The 20,359-nt window shown below is 40.4% G+C and overlaps 1 long non-coding RNA gene across 1 annotated transcript, besides 1 other annotated feature; it reads right to left on the reverse strand.

Annotated features, from left to right (window-relative positions):
- On the reverse strand, positions 13,112 to 14,666 carry LOC105375157 (uncharacterized). The gene is made up of 3 exons (XR_927043.2): positions 14,486 to 14,666; positions 13,745 to 13,847; positions 13,112 to 13,376 (listed from the first exon to the last, which is right to left on the reverse strand). It is a non-coding gene; the product is annotated as an uncharacterized LOC105375157 (long non-coding RNA).
- Positions 14,160 to 15,359: an enhancer, noted in NCBI's record as "BRD4-independent group 4 enhancer chr7:12714709-12715908 (GRCh37/hg19 assembly coordinates)". NCBI's record gives its function as "activates an origin of replication core promoter dependent on BRD2, P300/CBP, MED14 and CDK7 cofactors, and independent of BRD4, by STARR-seq in HCT116 cells {active_cell/tissue: HCT116}" and the evidence as "EXISTENCE:reporter gene assay evidence [ECO:0000049][PMID:35650434]".

Below are 20,359 nucleotides of genomic sequence, written 5' to 3' on the forward strand. Positions count from 1 at the left end.
TGCAATACCGCTTGGCCCCAATACAAACTCGACAATAGTTCCAAGTAGCCAGAAAACAGCACTTTTGATTTCTCCATTTTACAAGACCTAGATGATTTTTGTCAAAAAAATGGGCAAATGGTCTGAGATGCCTGATGTCCAGGCATTCTTTTACACATCAGTCCCTCCCTAGTCTCTGCTCCCAATGCGACTCATCCCAAATCTTTCTTCTTTCTCTCCTGTCTGTTCCTTCAGTCTCCACCCCCAAGTTCTGAGTCCTTTGAATCCTCCTTTTCTACGGACTCATCTGACCTCTCCCCTCCTCCCCAGGCTGCTCCTGGCCAGGCTGAGCCAGGTCCCAATTCTTCCTCAGCCTCTGATCCCCCACCCTATAATCCTTTTATCACCTCCCCTCCTCACACCCTGTCCAGCTTACAGTCTCTTTCCACGACTAGACCTCCCCCACCTGCCAACAATTTCCTCTTAAAAAGGTGGCTGGAGCTAAAGGCATAGTCAAGGTTAATGCTCCTTTTTCTTTATCTGACCTCTCCCAAATCAGTTAGAATTTAGGCTCTTTTTCATCAAATTTAAAAACCCAGCCAGTCCGTGGCCCATTTGGCAACAACCCTTAGACGCTCTACCACCCTAGACCCATAGGGGCCATATGTCTTAATATACATTTTATTACCCAACCCACTCCTGACTTTAAAAAAAGCTCCAGAAATTAGATTCTAGCCCTCAAACCCCACAACAGGACTTAATTAACCTCGCCTTCAAGGTAGAGGCAGCCAAGTAGAAATGTATTTCTGAGTTGCAATTCCTTGCCTCCACTGTGAGATAAACCCCAGCCACATTCCAGCACACAAGAACTCCAAATGCCTGATCCACAGCTGCCAGGGGTTCCTCCAGGACCTCCTTCCCCAGGAGCTTGCTTCAAGTGCCAGAAATCTGGCCACTGGGCCAAGGAATTCCCGCAGCCCGGGATTCCTCCTAAGTCGTGTCCCATCTGTGCGGGACCCCACTGGAAATCAGACTGTCCGACCTGGCAGCCACTCCCAGAGGCCCTGGAACTCTGGGCCAAAGCTCTGTGACTGACTCCTTCCCAGATCTTCTCGGCTTAGTGGCTGAAGACTGACACTGCCCGATCGCCTCGGAAGCCTACAGGACCATCACAGATGCTTTGGATAACTCTTACTGTGGAGGGTAAGTCCGTCTCCTTGTTAATCAATACGGAGGCTACCCACTCCACATTACCTTCTTTTCAAGGGCGTGTTTCCCTTGCCCCAATAACTGTTGTGGGTATTGATGGCCAGGCATCTAAACCTCTTAAAACTCCCCAACTCTGGTGCCAACTTGGACAACATTCTTTTATGCACTCTTTTTTAGTTATCCCCACCTGCCCAGCTCCCTTATTAGGTCAAGCCACTTTAACCAAATTATCTGCTTCCCTGACTATTCCTGGGCTACAGCCACACCTCATTACCACCCTTTTCCCCAGTTCAAAGCCTCTTTTGCATCCTCTCCTTGTATCTCCACACCTTAATCCGCAAGTATAGGACACCTCTCCTCCCTCCTTGGAGACCGATCATGCACCCCTTACCATCCCATTAAAACCTAATCACCCTTACTCTGCCACACTTTAAAAAGATTAAAGCCCATTATCACTCACCTGTTACAGCATGGCTTTTTAAAGCCTATAAACTCTCCTTACAATTCCCAATTTTACCTGTCCAAAAACATTCAGACAAGTCTTACAGGTTAGTTCAAGATCTGCACTTTATCAACCAGAGTTGTTTTGCCTATCCACCCTGTGGTGCCCAACCTGTACACTCTTTTGTCCTCAATACCTTCCTTCACAACTCACTATTCCGTTCTTGATCTTAAAGATGCTTTTTCACTATTCCCCTATACCCCTCATCCCAGCCTCTCTTTGCTTTTACCTGGACTGACCCTGACACCCATCAGTCCCAGCAGCTTACCTGGGCTGTACTGCCACAAGGCTTCAGGGACAGCCCTCATTACTTCAGCCAAGCTCTTTCTCATGATTGACTTTCTTTCCACCCCTCCACTTCTCACCTTATTCAATATATGCATGACCTTCTATTTTGTAGCCCCTCCTTTGAATCTTCTCAACAAGACACCCTCCTCCTCCTTCAACATTTATTCTCCAAGGGATATCAGGTATCAGCCTCCAAAGCTCAAATTTCTTCTCCATCCGTTACCTACCTCAGCGTAGTTCTTCATAAAAACACACACGCCTTCCTTGCCGATCATGTCCGACTGATCTCTCAAACCCCAACCCCTTCTACAAAACAGCTCCTTTCATTCCTGGGCATGGTTGGATACTTTCATCTTTAGATACTTGGTTTTGCCAACCTAATAAAACCATTATATAAATTCACAAAAGGAAACCTAGCTGATCCCATATATCCTAAATCCTTTCCCCATTCCTCTTTCTGTTCCTTGAAGACAGCTTTAGAGAGTGCTCCCTCACTAGATCTCCCTAACTCATTCCAAACCTTTTTCATTGCACACAGCTAAAGTGCAGGGCTGTGCAGTCAAAATTCTTTCACAACAGCCAGACCATGCTCTGCAGCCTTTTTGTCCAAACAACTTAACCTTACTGTTTTAGGCTTGCCCCCATCCCCATGACTGTCTCTCTCTGATCCACCTGACATTCACTCCATTTCCCTGTATTTCCTTCTTTCCTGTTCCTCACCCTGATCACACTTGGTTTATTGATGGCAGTTCCACCAGGCCTAATCACCACACACCAGCAAAGGCAGGCTGTGCTATAGTATCTTCCACATCTATCATTGAGGCTACCACTCTGCCCCCCTCCACTACCTCTCAGCAAGCCAAATACGTTGCCTTAACTCAAGCCCTCTCTCTTGCAAAAGGACTACGCATCAATATTTATACTGACTCTAAATATGCCTTCCATATCCTGCACCACCATGTTGTTATATGGGCAAAGACAAATTTCCTCGCTATGCAAGAGTCCTCCACCATTAATGCCTCTTTAATAAAAACTCTTCTTAAAACCGCTTTACTTCCAAAGGAAGCTGGAGTCGTTCACTGCAAGGGCCATCAAAAGGCATCAGGTCACATGGCTCAGGGCAACGTTTATGCTGATAAGGTAGCTAAAGAAGCAGCTAGCTTTCCAATTTCTGTCCCTCATGGCATGGCCAGTTTTTCTCCTTCTCATTGGTCACTCCTATTTACTCTCCAAATGAAGTTTCCACCTATCAATCCCTCTCCACTCAAGGCAGATGGTTCTTAGACCAAAAAAAAAAATAAATAAATAAAATCTCCTTCCAGCCTCACAGGCCCATTCTATTCTGTCATCATTTCATAACCTCTTCCATGTAGGTTACAAGCCATTAGCCTGCCTCTTAAAACCTCTCATTTCCTTTCCATTGTGAAAATCTATCCACCATCCGCCACTCTTGACTCCCTCTTAGAGTGGATAGATGATCTTTGCTGACAGGGCACACTCCAATACTTTCGCCCTGATGAAGCCCTACTCTTTACTTTTATACTCACTCTTATTCTCGTTCCCATTCTTATGCCACCCTCTATCTCTCCCCAGCTGTCTCCACCACACTATCAATCTCATTCTCTCTCCTAGCCGTTTCTAATCCTTCTTTAACAAACAGTTGCTGGCTTTGCATTTCTCTTTCCTCCAAAATTGCCGAGGCCTCAATTTACTCACTGCTGAAAAAGGAGGACTCTATATTTTTAAATGAAGAGTGTTGTTTTTACCTAAATCAATCTGCCCTGGTATATGACAACATAAAAAAACTCAAGGATAGAGCCCAAAATTTCACCAACCAAGCAAACAATAACGTTGAATCCACTTGGACACTAATTGGACATCCTGGGTACTACCAACTCTTAGTCCTTTAATACCTATTTTTCTCCTCTTTTATTCGGACCTTGTGTCTTTCATTTAGTTTCTCAAGTCATACAAAACCACATCCAGGCCATCACCAATCATTCTATACAACAAGTGCTCCTTCTAACAACCCCACAATATCACCCCTTACCACAAAATGTTCCTTCAGCCTAATCTCTCCCACTCTGGGTTCCCACACCGCCCCTTGAAGCAGCCCTGAGAAACGTCACCCATTATCTCTCCATACCAATCCCCCCAAAATTTTCGCTGCTTCAACACTTCACCACTATTTTGTTTTGCTTTTCTTATTAATATAAGAAGACAAGAATGTCAGGCCTTTGAGCCCAAGCTAAGCCATCATATCCCCTGTGACCTGCACATATACATCCAGATGGCCTGAAGCAATTGAAGATCCACAAAAGAAGTGAAAATAGCCTTAACTGATGACATTCCACCATTGTGATGTGTTTCTGCCCCATACTAACTGGTCAATGTACTTTGTAATCTCCCCCACCCTTAAGAAGTTTCTTTGTAATCTCCCCCACTCTTAGGAAGGTTCTTTGTAATTCTTCCCACCCTTGAGAATGTACTTTGTGAGATCCACTCCCTGCCTGCAAAACATTGCTCCTAACTCCACCGCCTATCCCAAAACCTATAAGAACTGATGATAATCCCATCACCCTTTGCTGACTCTCTTTTCAGACTCAGGCTGCCTGCACCCAGGTGAAATAAACAGCCTTGTTGCTCCCACAAATCCTGTTTGGTGGTCTTCTTCACACGGACATGCATGACACACCACATGTGGCCTTGGAGTTTTCAGTTATGTAGATTGTTGCATATGGGTATTTGATGCTCATGCTGGCTTCACTCATTGATATCAAATGAAAATTAACAAAATCAAAACGTCAGAGCAGAGATATTGTCATGTTTGGGCCTCATCTTTTACTCTTTGGTAAATTGCCCATGGGGCTATAACCCAGAGCAAGCCTTCCCCCAGATCTTCTGTTCTTTCCTGAAGCTGCTCATTTTTCTAACGTTTTTCTTCATTCATATCCCAACCTCATTATCCTAGGCTTTGTCGATGAAAAGAGTTAAACTCTTTAAAATATATGAAGAGATTTATTCTGAGCCAAATATGAGTGATGATGGCCCGTGACACAGCCCTCGAGAAGTCCTGAGAACATGTGCCCAAGGTGGTCCCAGAGCAGCTTAGTTGTATACATTTTTAGAGAGGCATGAGACATCAATCAAATACATTTAAGAAATACATTGGTTTGGTCCAGTAAGGTGGAACAACTCAAAGCGGCGGGGCTTCCTGGCTATCGGTGAATTTAAATCTTTTCTGGTTGACAATTGGTTGAGTTTGTCTAAAGACCTGGAATTGATAGAAAGGGAATGTTCAAGTTAAGATAAAGATCGTGGAGACCAAAGTTCTTCTGAAGTGGCTGCCCTTAGAGACAATAGATGACAAATGTTTCCTATTCAGATATTAATCTCTTTAGGATTGGGAGGGTCTGGAAGAAAAAGATCTAGCTATGTTAATAGAGATTCTTTACAGACACAAATTTTCCCCCATAAAGAACAGCTTTGCAGTGCCATTTCAAAATATGGCAAAGAAACATGTTTTGGGGTAAAATATTTTGATTTTCTTCTTTGTCTCGTAATGTTATGCCAGAGTCAGGCTGGAAAGTAAATCATGGTATATAGGGTAAAATAAAACCCGTCTGAGGGCATGACTCCCCAGACCCCTTAGATAGGAATTTGGGCAAGATTAAAAAAAATCAGAGTTTAATCCTCAGCTTTCAGCTCAATTCTACCCTTCGACATGATCAAGGACAAAACAACAATCAGAAGCTTGCTCAGCTGGCAAAGGCTGCTTGCCTCCTTAGAAGGTAGGGGGAGGGGGAGGACTGCAAATCTTGTAATTTAATAATATTTACTTTATTGCTGTCATAATGATTATACATGCTGTATTATTTCCCCAGGAATGTCCTAACAAACTTGGTAGTCTAAAACAACAGAAATTTATTCTGTCACAGTTCTGGAGGCCAGAAGTTCAAAATCAAGGTGTCTTTAGGACCATGCTCCCTACAAAGGCTCTAGGAGAGAGTTCTTCCTTGTTTCAGATTCTGGTGGTTCCAGGCATTCCTTGGTTTGTGGCATCATGACTCCAATCTCTGACTCCTTTATGTCCTTTTTCACTGTGTCTTCTCTTGTAAAGATACTTGTGATTGGATTTAGGGTCCACTCAGTTAATCCAGGATGATCTTAGCTCAAAACTGTTAATTTAATCACATTGAAAAAATCCTTTTTTTAAATGAGGACATATTTGGTTTTTGATAATGAGGACATGGACAAATCATTTTAGAGGCATAATTCAACCCATGCACATGTTCGTTGTAAAAAAAAAAAAACCCACATAAAATAGAATACACACATATACACAAGTCCCAAAAATACAACACTGCAAAGATCTAGGGGGTTCTCACTTTGTAAGAAATCATTGAGCTATATACATCCTTGACTTTAACCCTTTAGAGTGCCCTTATAAAAGGAGTCTGAGAGAGAAGAGACCTGTCACTTCTTCCACCATCTGAAGTTACAGGGAGAAGACAGTAGTCTATAAACCAGGAAGTGGGCCCTCAGCAGATACTGAATTTGCCAGCACCTTGACTTGGATGTCCCAGCCTCCAGAACTGTGAGAAATCAATTTCTGTTGTTTATAAGCCAACCAGTTTATAATATTCTGTTGTAGCAGTCCAAATGAACTCAGACAGATAAACAATACGGAAAATAAAATCTGCAAAGGAGCCTGAGAGGAAGAGGACGAGGGAGGAGGGGAGAAGGAAAAGACTGAGGCATCAAAGAAATCCAGGAAAAAGAGCAGAGTGTGGTGGCTCACACCTGTAATCCCAGCACCTTCGGAGGCCAAGGCGGGTGGATCACCTGAGGTCAGGAGTTCAAGACCAGCCTGACCAACATGGTGAAACTCCATCTCTACTAAAAATACAAAATTAGCCAGGCATGGTGGCACATGCCTGTAATCCCAGCTACTCGGGAGGCTGAGGCAGGAGAATCGCTTGAACCCAGGAGGCAGAGGTTGCAGTGAGCTGAGATCGCACCATTGCACTCCAGCTTCAGCAACAAGAGCGAAACTCCATCTCAAAAAAAAAAAAAAAGAAATCCAGGAAAAAGAGAAGGTGTCAGTATTGTCAAAGCTGCTGCATATTCAAGGAAGATAAAAATCCCAGAAATATTCGTTGGATTCAGCAAAATGAGTTAACAGAAAAAGCTAGTACAGGAAATACTCTTGAAGAAGTTTGGCAGTCATGGCAATGGAAAGCCCAGTAAGTACAGCAGGATCTGGGGTTGCAGATTTTTTAAGAATGTAAAAGCCTTGAAAATATTTGCATACTGCAGGGAAATAACTAGTACAAATGTAAAGTTTCAGAGCACAGCATAAAGTTAAATAAGAGATGGTAGGTACTGAGAAAAAGCAGGGGTAAATAGATCTAGGCACTGGAGCAAGATTAGCCTCAGGCCGATGGCTCTTCACTTCCAGTGTCACCGGAGAAAAGAATGGTGCCACAAAGTTTGGGGAGGTATGATTATCTACAGAGTGAGAAAGGACATGGTGTATTCGAACACGAGGCACATAGAAAAGATTTAAGATAACCACTATGGAGAGAAGGATATTTCAAAAGAAAGAAAAATGTGGAAGCAAGGTGGGGTGGGGTGGCAGGTGATGAGAGCCCAGATGTGTTTTATAACCATGACTTTGTAAAAGTTTCAATTATTATGGGTGGATAATTAAGTTACTTCCAGCAGCATTCCAGGCCCATAAAGAAGGCAGAGACACATTGCCTCTTTGGCCAGATTTTCAATTGCCCTATTTTCTCTTTTTCGAATTTTCTACCACAAAATTTATTATAAAATCTTATACTCCAGGAGTTGAAATTCTATGTTGCTGAAATTTACACATAAGAAAATAAATAGATAGGAGAATTTTGAGTCAGGGAATAACATGGTTGGGAAAGAATCGTTAATTCAAACCCCCTTCTCCCATCCTCTCCATCTATCTTAGAAGTTATGTTCTCAGTGCAAGGAAAGATATTGCTCACAAATAAGCTAAGTAACCTAAAAAGCAATGTGGGATTTTACATATTTCGTCAAATATTTTAGACTGTTATGTCATCCAACTCTTTGGCCAACATTTTCTCTACTTTTTGACAGCCCATCTCCTACAGAGAACCTAGAAGCCAGTGTTCCCATCTGTCCTTGCAGTTAGTGGTGAGGGTTGGGGGCGCACAAGCATGGGGCCTAAATACCACCTGTCAAATGCAAGCATATCAGGCTTAAATTTGGAGCCAGGGACAATGGCACCGTGGGATCTACTTTGATGAGGACAGTGGTGGATGTGCCCAGTTTATGGAGGTGCCCGTGGCTGAGGCTGTGGCAGTCTTGTCCAGGGCACATCCTGAGAAGTACCAGTCTATGGTGGCATTGCCCAACAATGGCTGCAGGTCTGTCTTTGCTGGCAGTTAATCAATGGTTAAGTTAGAACTTTGTTCTTGACTGTGCAGTCTCTAAGCCTGGCTCTCTGGCCCCCGAGCAGATTCAGAGGGCTCCCTAACATCTTTTTAAGATTACTTTCTGCTTAACTAACCAGAATTGATTTCATTTGTTGGCAGCTAGGAACCCTGACATATACACGCAGACCAGAGTGTTGGATTTGAGGGTTTCTTGAGAAAAAAAAAAAAAAAAAAGATCTTTCCATATAGTCACTTATAATTCTGACCTCAATGAAGGCTATGGTTCCAGGACATTAGTGGATAAAGCAGAAAGTTCCACAACCTCAGAAGAGTCCCCAAAGTGGCTTTGGCAAATAATTTTGGAAACATCAAAAATTTAAGAAAAGGCCAACAACATTTTCTCCCTTCTATATGTGAAATGATTTGTTATCAGAGATCATTAGGATGGAAAAAGAGAAGTCTGGGCCCTTTTAACTTACTTAGAATCATATGTATAGAAAAAGCACAAAGGAAAAAAAAGCAAATTTAAATTTTAGTGTTCCTATGTATTAATTAAATAATTTGTAGTGTGTTTAGGGTTAAAATTATGAAGAAAAATAATATGTGGTGAGATACATGATGACAATGATTGAAAACGTATTGTATTTATTTTGCATGTTTTTATAAATAGCTAGGATATAGTCATGTGTTTATAATTCTCCAGTCTAGTACAGTGCTGGCAAGAAGGCAGTCTCTAAATATTGTGCATATGTACTGATATATTCAATCTTTGTACAAATGCATATTTAATTTACATGACATAAATATCAGGTTGCAAAGTGAATCCATATACATAACACTGTCTGTGTTTATGCTGAAGCTTCACCAGTCACATGGTGTTCAGTTTGGTAAGGAGTCCTAATGTTCAGCCTGGACTGGAATGTATACAAACACAGCTGCCAAAGTGGAGACTTGTGTTTCCATGTGCTGGCACAATGGGTTGCCAAATACCTTTGCTTAATCTTTGTTTAGTTCTCTTCTTTGATGTTGTAGCAGTGCAATTTTTCTACTTTATTTGGAATGGAATTATTTGTGACGTGAAAACATAGTGGACACAATCCTAACCTAAATTGAACCCCTCAAAGGCATTCTGTTGTTTTGTGAAGTCTTGCATATGACACAGGAGATAATCAGTTAGTATATACTAATTGTTTGCAAGTCAGCAAATCTTACTCTTCAGATAACTGGATATTTTGATGCAAAAACTTAGTGAGATCTATTGAAGCCTGATGATCTTTTTCCTTTGAAGTAAAAAAACTGTAATGAATTCAATCAAAATTCAGTTCTCCTAAACATGACATGGATAACAGCCTACATATATATCCTAAAGAGCTAGAGTATTGCAAATTTTTTTAACCTGTAGACATGTGCTAGATTTAAAACTCCTTGTACATGGGCAAGTGTGCAAGTCTTTTTAAAGAAACATGGTTTACCGATAGAAGCCATTTAGTTTTGAGAGATTGCTTTTGCTTTTCTTCCCCCCAGTTCAGTGATTTTTGGTGTATTCACAGAATTGTGTAAGTATCATCAAAATCAGTCTTAGAATATTTTTAGTACACTAAAAAGGAAGTTCACACCCATTAGCAGTCACTTCCCATTTTTTCTTAACTCTACTCCTTCCCAGCCCTAGGCAACCATTAATAGATTTTCTGTCTCTATGGATTTGCCTATACCAGACGTCCATATATATGTGTATATATGGAATCATACAATATTTATATGGAGTCATACATACATATGATATAGAATCATACAACATTTGATCCTTTGTGACTTCCTTTCACTTAGCATAATGTTTCCAAGCATCATCCATGTTATAGCATGCATCAGTATTTCACTTCTTTTTATTGCCAAATAATATTACTTTGTATGGATACACTACATTTTGTTTATTCATTCCTCAGCTGATGAACATTTGGATTGTTTCCACTTTTGGGCTATTACGAATAATGGTGCTATGAACTTTCATATACAAACTTTTGTGTGGACATATGTGATATGGTTTGGCTCTACGTCCCCACCCAAATCACATGTGCAATTGTAATCCTCAATGTTGGAAGTGGGGCCTGGGGGGGAGGTGGTTGATTCACGGGGGTGGAGTTCTCATGAATAGTGTAGCACCATCCCCTCCGTGCCTTTCTCATGATGGTGAGTGAGTTCTCACAAGATCTGGTTGTTTAAAAGTGTGTAGCACCTTCCCCCTCTCTCTTCCTCCTGCTTCAGCTATGTAAAGTGCTGGCTCTCCCTTTGCCTTCCACCATGATTGCAAGTTTCCTGAGGCCTCCCCAGAGGCAAAAGCTGCTATTCTTCCCATACAGCCTGCAGAACCATGAGCCAATTAAACTTCTTTTCTTATAAATAGCCCAGTCTCACGTATTTACTTATAGCAGTGTGAAAACGGACTAATATAATACGTTTTTATTTCTCTTAGGTATGTACGTAGGAATGGAATTACTGGTTTATATGGCAAATCTATGTTTAACCTTTTGAGGAACCATCAGAAAATTTTCCAAAGTGACTGTACCATTTTATATTCCCGTTAGCTTTGCACATAATTTTTTAGCCATCAAAATAATTTTATATTCTTGGAATTCATAAAAAGTTTGAATTTATATATTTAATACACCTTAATATTTGAGTAAAATCTAAGCAAAGAAAATTTTTTAACTGTTTAGAAATTATAGTTTATAATCTAAAATTTTAAATGATAATTTTTTTTTTTTTGAGATGGAGTCTTGCTGTGTTGCCCAGGCTGCAGTGCAGTGGCATGATCTTGGCTCACTGCAACCTCTGCCTCCTGGGTTCAAGCAATTCTCCTGCTTCAGCCTCCCGAGTAGCTGGGATTACAGGCACCCTCCACCACACTGGGATAATTTTTTTGTATTTTTTGTAGAGATGGAGTTTCACCATGTTGGCCCAGCTGGTTTCGAACTTCTGACCTCAAGTGATCCACCCACCTGGCCTCTCAAAATGCTAGGATTACAGGTGTGAGACACCACAATAATTGATTTTTTAAAGCCTGATTTTAATATCCATTTCTCCAGCCAGACGCAGTGGCTCACACTTGTAATTTCAGCACTTTGGGAGGCCAAAGTGGAAGGATTTCTTGAGGCTAGGAGTTCAAGACTAGCCTGGGGAATATGGCAAGACCCCATCTCTTAAAAAAAAAATCATTTCTTTAAATAGGAATTTTGCTTTATTACATATAATGATATTTTGTAAGATTATAAGGTGTACATGAAGTTCAAAAGATCCAATTATAGCCTGCCTTTCATTCCTGTGTTATGAGTTAATTCAATGCACTCCTATAACCTCTTAATAAATGGGAAGTCTATTTAGTAACAGAAAGCAGAAAATATTAACCATGCCTATCATTCGTAATTTCCATTTTTAATAAAATATACAAAATTCTTAACCTTTTCCAGGTGTTTACCACTTGTATATGCAAATAAATAAAACTAAGAATTAAAATTTTTCTCTTAGATATAAGATACATTTTAAACTGGTCTTCTGATACTAATAGTTTAGCAACCATTATTATGGTCTGATTTTGATACACACACACATACACACACAAACACACAGATCTGTAGTCATCCCAAGATATTTTGGTGAATCATTTGTACTTTCCCTATACCTCTGCTTTAGAATAAAATAAGTTTATTTCCAGTGTGAGACAAAAACAGTAGGATTGAGTTCTGTTTTTTAGTCTAGAACATAAACTATTGTCTATATAGCAGGATTTCAAATTAAACACCACTTATCTTTGTAATCGTCCAACACACAAATTACACACGTAACTTCCTAATATTTCAGATTTTTCCTGAAACATGCCCTTGTCTTATTGTACTTAGTACCAGGACACCTTAGAGAAGAGTTTAATTGCAGAATTACTGAAATGTTTGAAAATCTGGCTTTGTACAACCTTTCTATCTAATGTCTTAAGATATTATTTACAACAGAATTGATTTATCAGTCTCTCAGGCTCATTTAATCTTTAAAGTTTCTGAAGAATCACATTGACTCTGAATTTAAATGAGCCACCAAATACATTTTCAATTTATGTCATAGAGAGTTGCTGTTCTAAGGAAAATACAAAGACTCATATAGGTTTAATATTTGGTGATCACATGGGGCATTAAGATAATCCCATTTTTGGCCAGGTGTGTTGGCTCACACCTGTAATCCTAGCACTTTGGGAGACCAAGGTGGGCAGATTGCCTGAGCTCAAGCGTTGGAAACCAGCCTGGGCAACACGGTGAAACCCTGTCTCTACTAAAACACAAACAAAAATTAGCCGGGCATGGCAGTGCGCGCCTGTAGTCCCAGCTACTCAGGAGGCTGAGGCAAAGCAATTGCTTGAACCCAGGAGGCAGAAGTTGCAGTGAGCTGAGATTGCACCACTACACTCCAGCCTGGGCGACAGAGCCAAACGGTGTCTCAAAAAAAAAAAAAAAAAAAAAAAAAAAAGATAATCACATTTTCTACTACTAGGCAGTTACCTTTAAATAGAAGATAGCATGACAGTCCCCAACATCAGTTATTTCTCTTGTGAGTGTTAAACTTTAGACTTTATTTCATTCCCTGATTTTGAAACTACATCTGGATGCCTTAAGACCATAACATTCTTCTGGATTGAGTATGTCATCAATTTGCTGCCGATTCTCAAAGATTCCAGACTGTTAGTTATTAATCCTTTAACATTACATCTTTATGATAAATGAAGCATACTAAGGGATAATTGTGCTAAAAACAGGAAATGTACTTTCAAAACAAGAATATGTTGACCTTCCATATTTTTTTTTCTGCCTTCATCTGTCATAGTTGAAACTTTCTGAAAGAATCTTCTTCCTTCCTTGACTCATGATGAGTTACCTGCATTCCACATCCCAAAGCGGGTCAGTGTGTAATCAGGACAGAGCTTTTACCTGAAGTAAGCCAAGTTACAGATCCAAAAATTACTAGTTTAGTAATCTTCAGCAAGTAAATCTCTTAACCTAACTAAGCCTCAGTTTCCTCATTTATAAAATAATGGTAAATCGCACAGATCTTGCTTTCCCTAGAGGACAGTTTTGAGGATAATTGATAAATGCGAGAAACTAAAAAAAAAACCCTGTAAACTAACTGCCTTGCATTCATTTATTTAACATATGTTGGTTTTTAGAGAAATTCTAATTTTTTTTTCAAATGTCAAATTTAGATCTCAGTTTGGTCATTAAATTACTTGCAGATAGCCAGCGATTTTATCTTTCTCTTCACTAGATCAGAAACTATGCTGCATCATTGCTCAGTTTACCTGCTTTACACCAAAAAGAATTCCGTAGTCTAGAGTAATGCTTAAATCTTAATTGCTTATGACAAATATGTTGTTTTAGTTAAGTTCTGTGATCTTCAGAAACCTAAAAAGTAAAAGTAATCATATATCAATAAAGTACTATTTTATCTAACAATTATTCATATTACAGCTACAGCAACTTCATTCATTCTCCCCAGAACAACCCAGTAAGAAAAATGAGGCACAAAGATTCTAAGGCACACTTAATTTGCTCATTTATTCATTCTATAAATCTTTTCTAAACGCTTATCAATTGCCCGGTTTGGAACTAGTGGTAGAAACTATGAGATCTGCAGTCCTGTTTGATTCTTCCTTTGATCCTGCACAACCTAAAGAGGGCGCACTTACCACTCCTATCTTGAATCTTCCCTGAAAGCTTGTTTTGCTTTTCGCAACACAACCTTCTGTGCTAGGGATGACCTACATTCACTACAAGTGAAAGTAAGACCTACATACAGTCCTGCTGTCAATACAGCTGAGCAGTTGCAACTCCTTCTTCCTCCACCTCTGTCCAAGCCCTCTTTTAGTTCTGTAGACAAAGATCACAATATGGATTCATACTGGCCTGGATTGTAAGCATAGTAGAGAAGCAGTCTCCCCTGCCAGAGTAAACGCACCTGTACCTGGCACCATCTCTTCTGACTCCCTCCCAACAATTAAAGAATTGTACAAAGCAATCTGGTTTTTAAAAATTCTGTGAACCTGAAAATATAGGCTTTTCTCCAAGTTTCCGTCTTCTGTCTTCTTTAGTATTATCACCTACATTCCATCTTATCAGTGACTTGAAATTTATCCTGCACCAACTTCTGACAGCTTCAGTCAGTGATTTCCAGTTACTTCTTGTTCTATTAGTTTCTAAAGACCTTACCTTGAGATAATCTGATTAAGTAGATCTGAGTGGAAAATTGTAAAATCCAGCTTCTAGAACCTTATGCTCAATGATAAAAAGATCTCCAGATTCCATTCCAAGATGGCCGAACAGGAACAGCTCCAGTCTGCAGCTCCCAGTGTGAATGACGTAGAAGACAGGTGATTTCTGCATTTCCAACTGCGGTACCTGATTCATCTCATTGGTGGTTGGACAGTGGGTGCAGCCCACGGAGGGTGAGCCAAAGCAGGGTGGGGTGTCACCTCACCCGGGAAGCACAAGGGATCAGGGGATTTCCCTTTCCTAGGCAAGGGAAGCCATGTACCTGGAAAATCAGGACACTCCCACCCTAATACTGTGCTTTTCTATTGGTCTTAGCAAATGGCACACCAGGAGATTATATTCTGCACCTGGCTCAGCAGGTCCCACACCCATGTAGCCTTGCTCACTCCTAGCGCAGCAGTCTGAGATTGACGAGCTGACAGAAGTAGGCTTCAGAAGGTCGGTATAACAAACTTCTCCGAGCTAAAGGAGGATGTTCGAACCCATCGCAAGGAAGTTAAAAACCTTGAAAAAAAGATTAGATGAATGGCTAACTAGAATAAACAGTGTAGAGAAGACCTTAAATGACCTGATGGAGCTGAAAACCATGGCATGAGAACTATGTGACGCGTGCACAAGCTTCAATAGCTGATTTGATCAAGTGGAAGAAAGGGTATCAGTGATTGCAGATCAAATTAATGAAATAAAGCGAGAAGAGAAGTTTACAGAAAAGGAATAAAAAGAAATGAACAAAGCCTCCAAGAAATATGGGACTATGTGAAAAGACCAAATCTACATTTGATTGATGTACCTGAAAATGATGTGGAGAATGGAACCAAGTTGGAAAATACTCTTCAGGATATTATCCAGGAGAACTTCCCCAACCTAGCAAGGCAGGCCAACATTCAAATTCAGGAAATACAGAGAACACTGCAAAGATACTCCTCTAGAAGAGCAACCCCAAGACACATAACTGTCAGATTCACCAAGGTTGAAATGAAGGAAAAAATGTTAAGGGCAGCCAGAGAGAAAGGTCAGGTTACCCACAAAGGGAAGCCCGTCAGACTAACAGCAGATCTCTTGGCAGAATCCCTACAAGCCAGAAGAGAGTGAGGGCCAATATTCAACATTCTTAAAAAAAAAAGAATTTTCAACCCAGAATTTCATATCCAGCCCAACTAATCTTCATAAGTGAAGGAGAAATAAAATCCTTTACAGACAAGCAAATGCTGAGAGATTTTGTCACCACCAGGCCTGCCTTACAAGAGCTCCTGAAGGAAGCACTGAACATGGAAAGGAAAAACCAGTACCAGCCACTGCAAAAACATGCCAAATTGTAAAGACCATCGATGCTAGGAAGAAACTGCATTAACGAACGAGCAAAATAACCAGCTAACATCATAATGACAGGATCAAATTCACACATAACAATATTAACCTTAAATGTAAATGGGCTAAATGCTCCAATTAAAAGACACAGACTGGCAAATTGGATAAAGCATCAATACCCATCAGTGTGCTGTATTCAGGAGACCCATCTCATGTGCAGAGACACACATAGGCTCAAAATAAAGGGATGGAGGAAGATCTACCAAGCAAATGGAAAGCAAAAAAAAAAGCAGGGGTTGCAATCCTAGTCTCTGATAAAGACTTTAAACCAACAAAGATCAAAAGCGACAAGAAAGCCATTACATAATGGTAAAGGGATCAATTCAACAAGAAGAGTTAACTACCCTAAATATAGATACACCCAATACAGGAGCACACAGATTCATAAAGCAAGTCCTTAGAGACCTACAAAGAGACTTAGACACCCACACAATAATAATGGGAGACTTTTAACACCCCACTGTCAATATTAGACAGATCAACAAGACAGAAGGTTAACAAGGATATCCTAAAATTACTTGATTTATCCTTTGTCTTCCACATTATCACCTGCTTCACCTGGTCAACTCCTCCACTTCCATTAGGTACAAACGATCACACACACACACACACACACACACACACACACACTAACACACGCAATATGACAAAGTTCAAGTTATAGTTTTCTTTCTTTTTTTTTGAGATGGAGTCTCATTCTATTTCCAGGTTGGAGTGCAGCGGTGCAATCTCGGCTAACTGCGACCTCTGCCTGCCGTGTTCAAAAGATTCTCCTGCCTCAGCCTCCCGAGTAGCTGGGACTACAGGCACACGTCACCATGCCCGGCTAATTTTTGTATTTTTAGTAGAGAGGGGGTTTCACCACGTTGAACAGGATGGTCTCAATCTCTTGACCTCGTGATCCGCCCACCTTGGCCTCCCAAAGTGCTAGGATTACAGGCGCCAGCCATTGCGCCTGGCCAAGTTACAGTTTTCTAAGCGTCTGTTCCAGTACTAGCCCACTGCTTTATAACATGTTTGTGGGATTTGTCTTTAAATAAGTGAATTGGGCCGGGCGCGGTGGCTCACGCCTGTAATCCCAGCACTTTGGGAGGCCGAGGCGGGCAGATCACGAGGTGAGGAGATCGAGACCATCCTGGTTAACACGGTGAAAACCCATATCTACTAAAAATACAAAAAAATCAGCCGGCCGTAGTGGCGGGCGCCTGTAGTCCCAGCTACTCGGGAGGCTGAGGCAGGAGAATGGCGTGAACCCGGGAGGCAGCACTTGCGTGAGCAGAGATCACGCCACTGCACTCCAGGCTGGGTGATAGAGCGAGACTCCGTCTCAAAAAATAAAATAAAATAAATAAGTGAATTAATAAAATAGGTTTAAGAGAAATGTAATAAAACTTTCTCTTCCCATTATTTTCCCTAGAATCTTAGGCCATAGTCTTTTTAAATTGTCTTGATAAAATTACTCAGTGGGTAGTCCCTTGCAAAAAGAACTAATATATTGTTTATTTGTTTTGTATATATCCATAGAGTTCATTTAAAGATATCTTAAATTGTTAGGAATTCTTTAAAAATTGGGGGTTGTTGGTATTTGAGGCAATATTTCTACTCTGTATCATTTCATTAGATATAAAAATATTTTGTCTTAACTAAAACATCCCAAAGTGCTATGATACAAATTCTCTTTTGAGCAAAAACTAAATTTCTCTCATTAACTATACAGATGGTATAGATTAGATAATTTGAAATTAGTTATCTAATTTCTTTATTTGTTTTTCTTTTTTTTGAGATGGATTTTCACTCTTGTTGCCCAGGATGGAGTGCAATGGCACAATCTCAGCTCACTGAAACCTCTGCCTCCGAGGTTCAAGCAATTCTCCTGTCTCAACCTCCCAAGTAGCTGGGATTACAGGCGTGAGCCACCACTCCCAGCTTTATTCTGTTTTTCACAAAGGAGGGAGCATTTGCAATTATATATGATTGTTCTAAACAATCATTTGAACAGTGATTGCTATATGTTTTATATCAGGCACATATGAACCCTTGGTAGTAAGAGTTATTTTGCTTTATCTAGACAGATAAATGTATAAGGAATACATTTTATGAAATTAAAAAGGGAAACTTCTGCCCATTTCCAACTCACGGTGGTAAAATGTTTTTTTCACTTCTTGTTCAAGGGGAATAGTGTGATAGTGTTAACCATATGCACTGTGATATTTCTGCCTCCACCCCTATCACAGGATGACCAACAGTAATAAAATAAACAAATATTGGATAAAAACAAACAAACAAAAAAAATGTTTAAACCAGAAATACTTAAAACAGAAAAAATGTGGCTGAAATGTGAGTTAAACATTGATGGTTTGAAGGTAGAGAAAAATTATTTTTCTCAAAATTATAATTAGTCTCTGCCTTAAAAGTTGTAAAAGTCTGAATATTCCTTTGGGGCCTCCTGCTTTTAGGATTTAGAAAAACCCCCCTTTATTATTATTTTATTTATTTATTTATTTTCATTTTTTTTTTTTTTGAGAAGAGAGTCTCCCTTTGTCGCCCAGGCTGGAGTGCAGTGGCGCGATCTCGGCTCACTGAAACCTCCACCTCCTGGGGTTCAAGCAATTCTCCTGCCTCAGCCTCCCTGAGTAGCTGGGACTACAGGTGCACGCCGCCACGCCCAGCTAATTTTTTTTTGTATTTTTAGTAGAGACGAGGTTACACCATATTGGCCAGGCTGGTCTCGAACTCTTGACCTCAGGTCATCCGCCTGCCTTGACCTCCCAAAGTGCCGGGATTACAGGTGTGAGCAACCGCACCCGGCCTAGAAAACCCCTTGAATGGGACCATTAGGTATAACAACATAACAAGTACCCAACTATTAGTTTTACTAATAGTGAAATAACTGTTAATGCAGATATTTTACATTGAAAAGCTAGGCATTCTATTGTGTAATATTGCATTAAAAGTGGTTTCTCCAGGATTCATGTCTATTTAAGAACAAAAAGGTATATGTCATTTGTATTTTCTCTGTATGAAAATTTGCCTTCAAAACTATCATGTTTTCTGGCCGGACACAGTGGCTCACACCTGTAATCCCAGCACTTTGGGAGGCCGAGGTGGGCAGATCACCTGAGATCAGGAGATCGAGACCAGCCTGGCCAACAGGGTGAAATCCCTTCCTTACTAAAAATGCAAAAATTAGCTGGGCATGGTGGCACGCATGTGTGATCCCAGCTACTCGGGAGGCGAGGCAGGAGAATCACTTGAACCCAGTAGGCAGAGGTTCCAGTGAGCCAAGATTGTGCCATTGCATTCCAACCTGGGCAACAAGAGTAAAACCCCATCTCAGAAAGAAAAAAAAAAAAAAAACTATCACTTTTTTTGTGGAGGTCTGTGGATTCTTGTTTGAGTAGTTATTCTTAGGATAATAAGCATTCATTCAATAAATCCACTGAATTCTTACTGTGTGCCACACACACATTGCTGTAAATATGGGGGAGAAGGCAGCACACAAAATTGACATTATCCTTGCTTCCTGGAACTTACAATAGGAAGTAAGAGGGGGACAGTTAGAGAAGGAACACAATAGACAGATATGAATCATGTCAGGTAGTAACAAGTGCAAAGAAGAAAAACAAAAGCAGAGTAAGGAATAGGAATAGAGAGTTCTGGTGGAGAGAGGGGTACAAGGCAGATATTTTAAATAAGGCTTTCAGGGAAGGCCTCTCTGAGGAGGTGATATTGAAGCCTGGGAAAGAGCTTAACCTCAGAAGCAGAGACACTACATGAGAGGCTCTGGAATTTTGATGGGCATTAGAGACACAGCAGTGGTGGTGGTGATAAGTGGTCAGGTTTGAATATATATGTCAACAGGACTTGCTGAGAGTTCATGTTGGATGTATGAGGATGTAGATATATTGGGTTCTAATGAATGAGATAAATATTGAGTGAAAAGAGCAGGTTTAGGGGCTGAGATGCTTATCTGCCATTCATTTGTAGAGTTCAAGAAAGATGTCTACGTTGAGACAAATTTGGGAGAATACAGATTGTTTAAATCCCTGGTATGGATGAAATTACGTAAGGAAAAAGTATAAAGACCTAAGGAGCCTTGGAGTACTCCAACAAGAGGCCATGGAAACTTGTGACAGAGAGGATTAAAATGTTCATGGAAGAAGACAGAAATGCACAAAAGCGTGCACAGATCTGGACTGTAGAAATAAAATATAACACACAATATTAGTTAAAGCTGGAAATAATTAGGACTCATTTGTTCTGATGTGTCCCCCTAT

Source organism: Homo sapiens, chromosome 7 (assembly GCF_000001405.40).
Source record: "Homo sapiens chromosome 7, GRCh38.p14 Primary Assembly".
In the NCBI taxonomy this organism is placed as follows: Eukaryota; Metazoa; Chordata; class Mammalia; order Primates; family Hominidae; genus Homo; species Homo sapiens.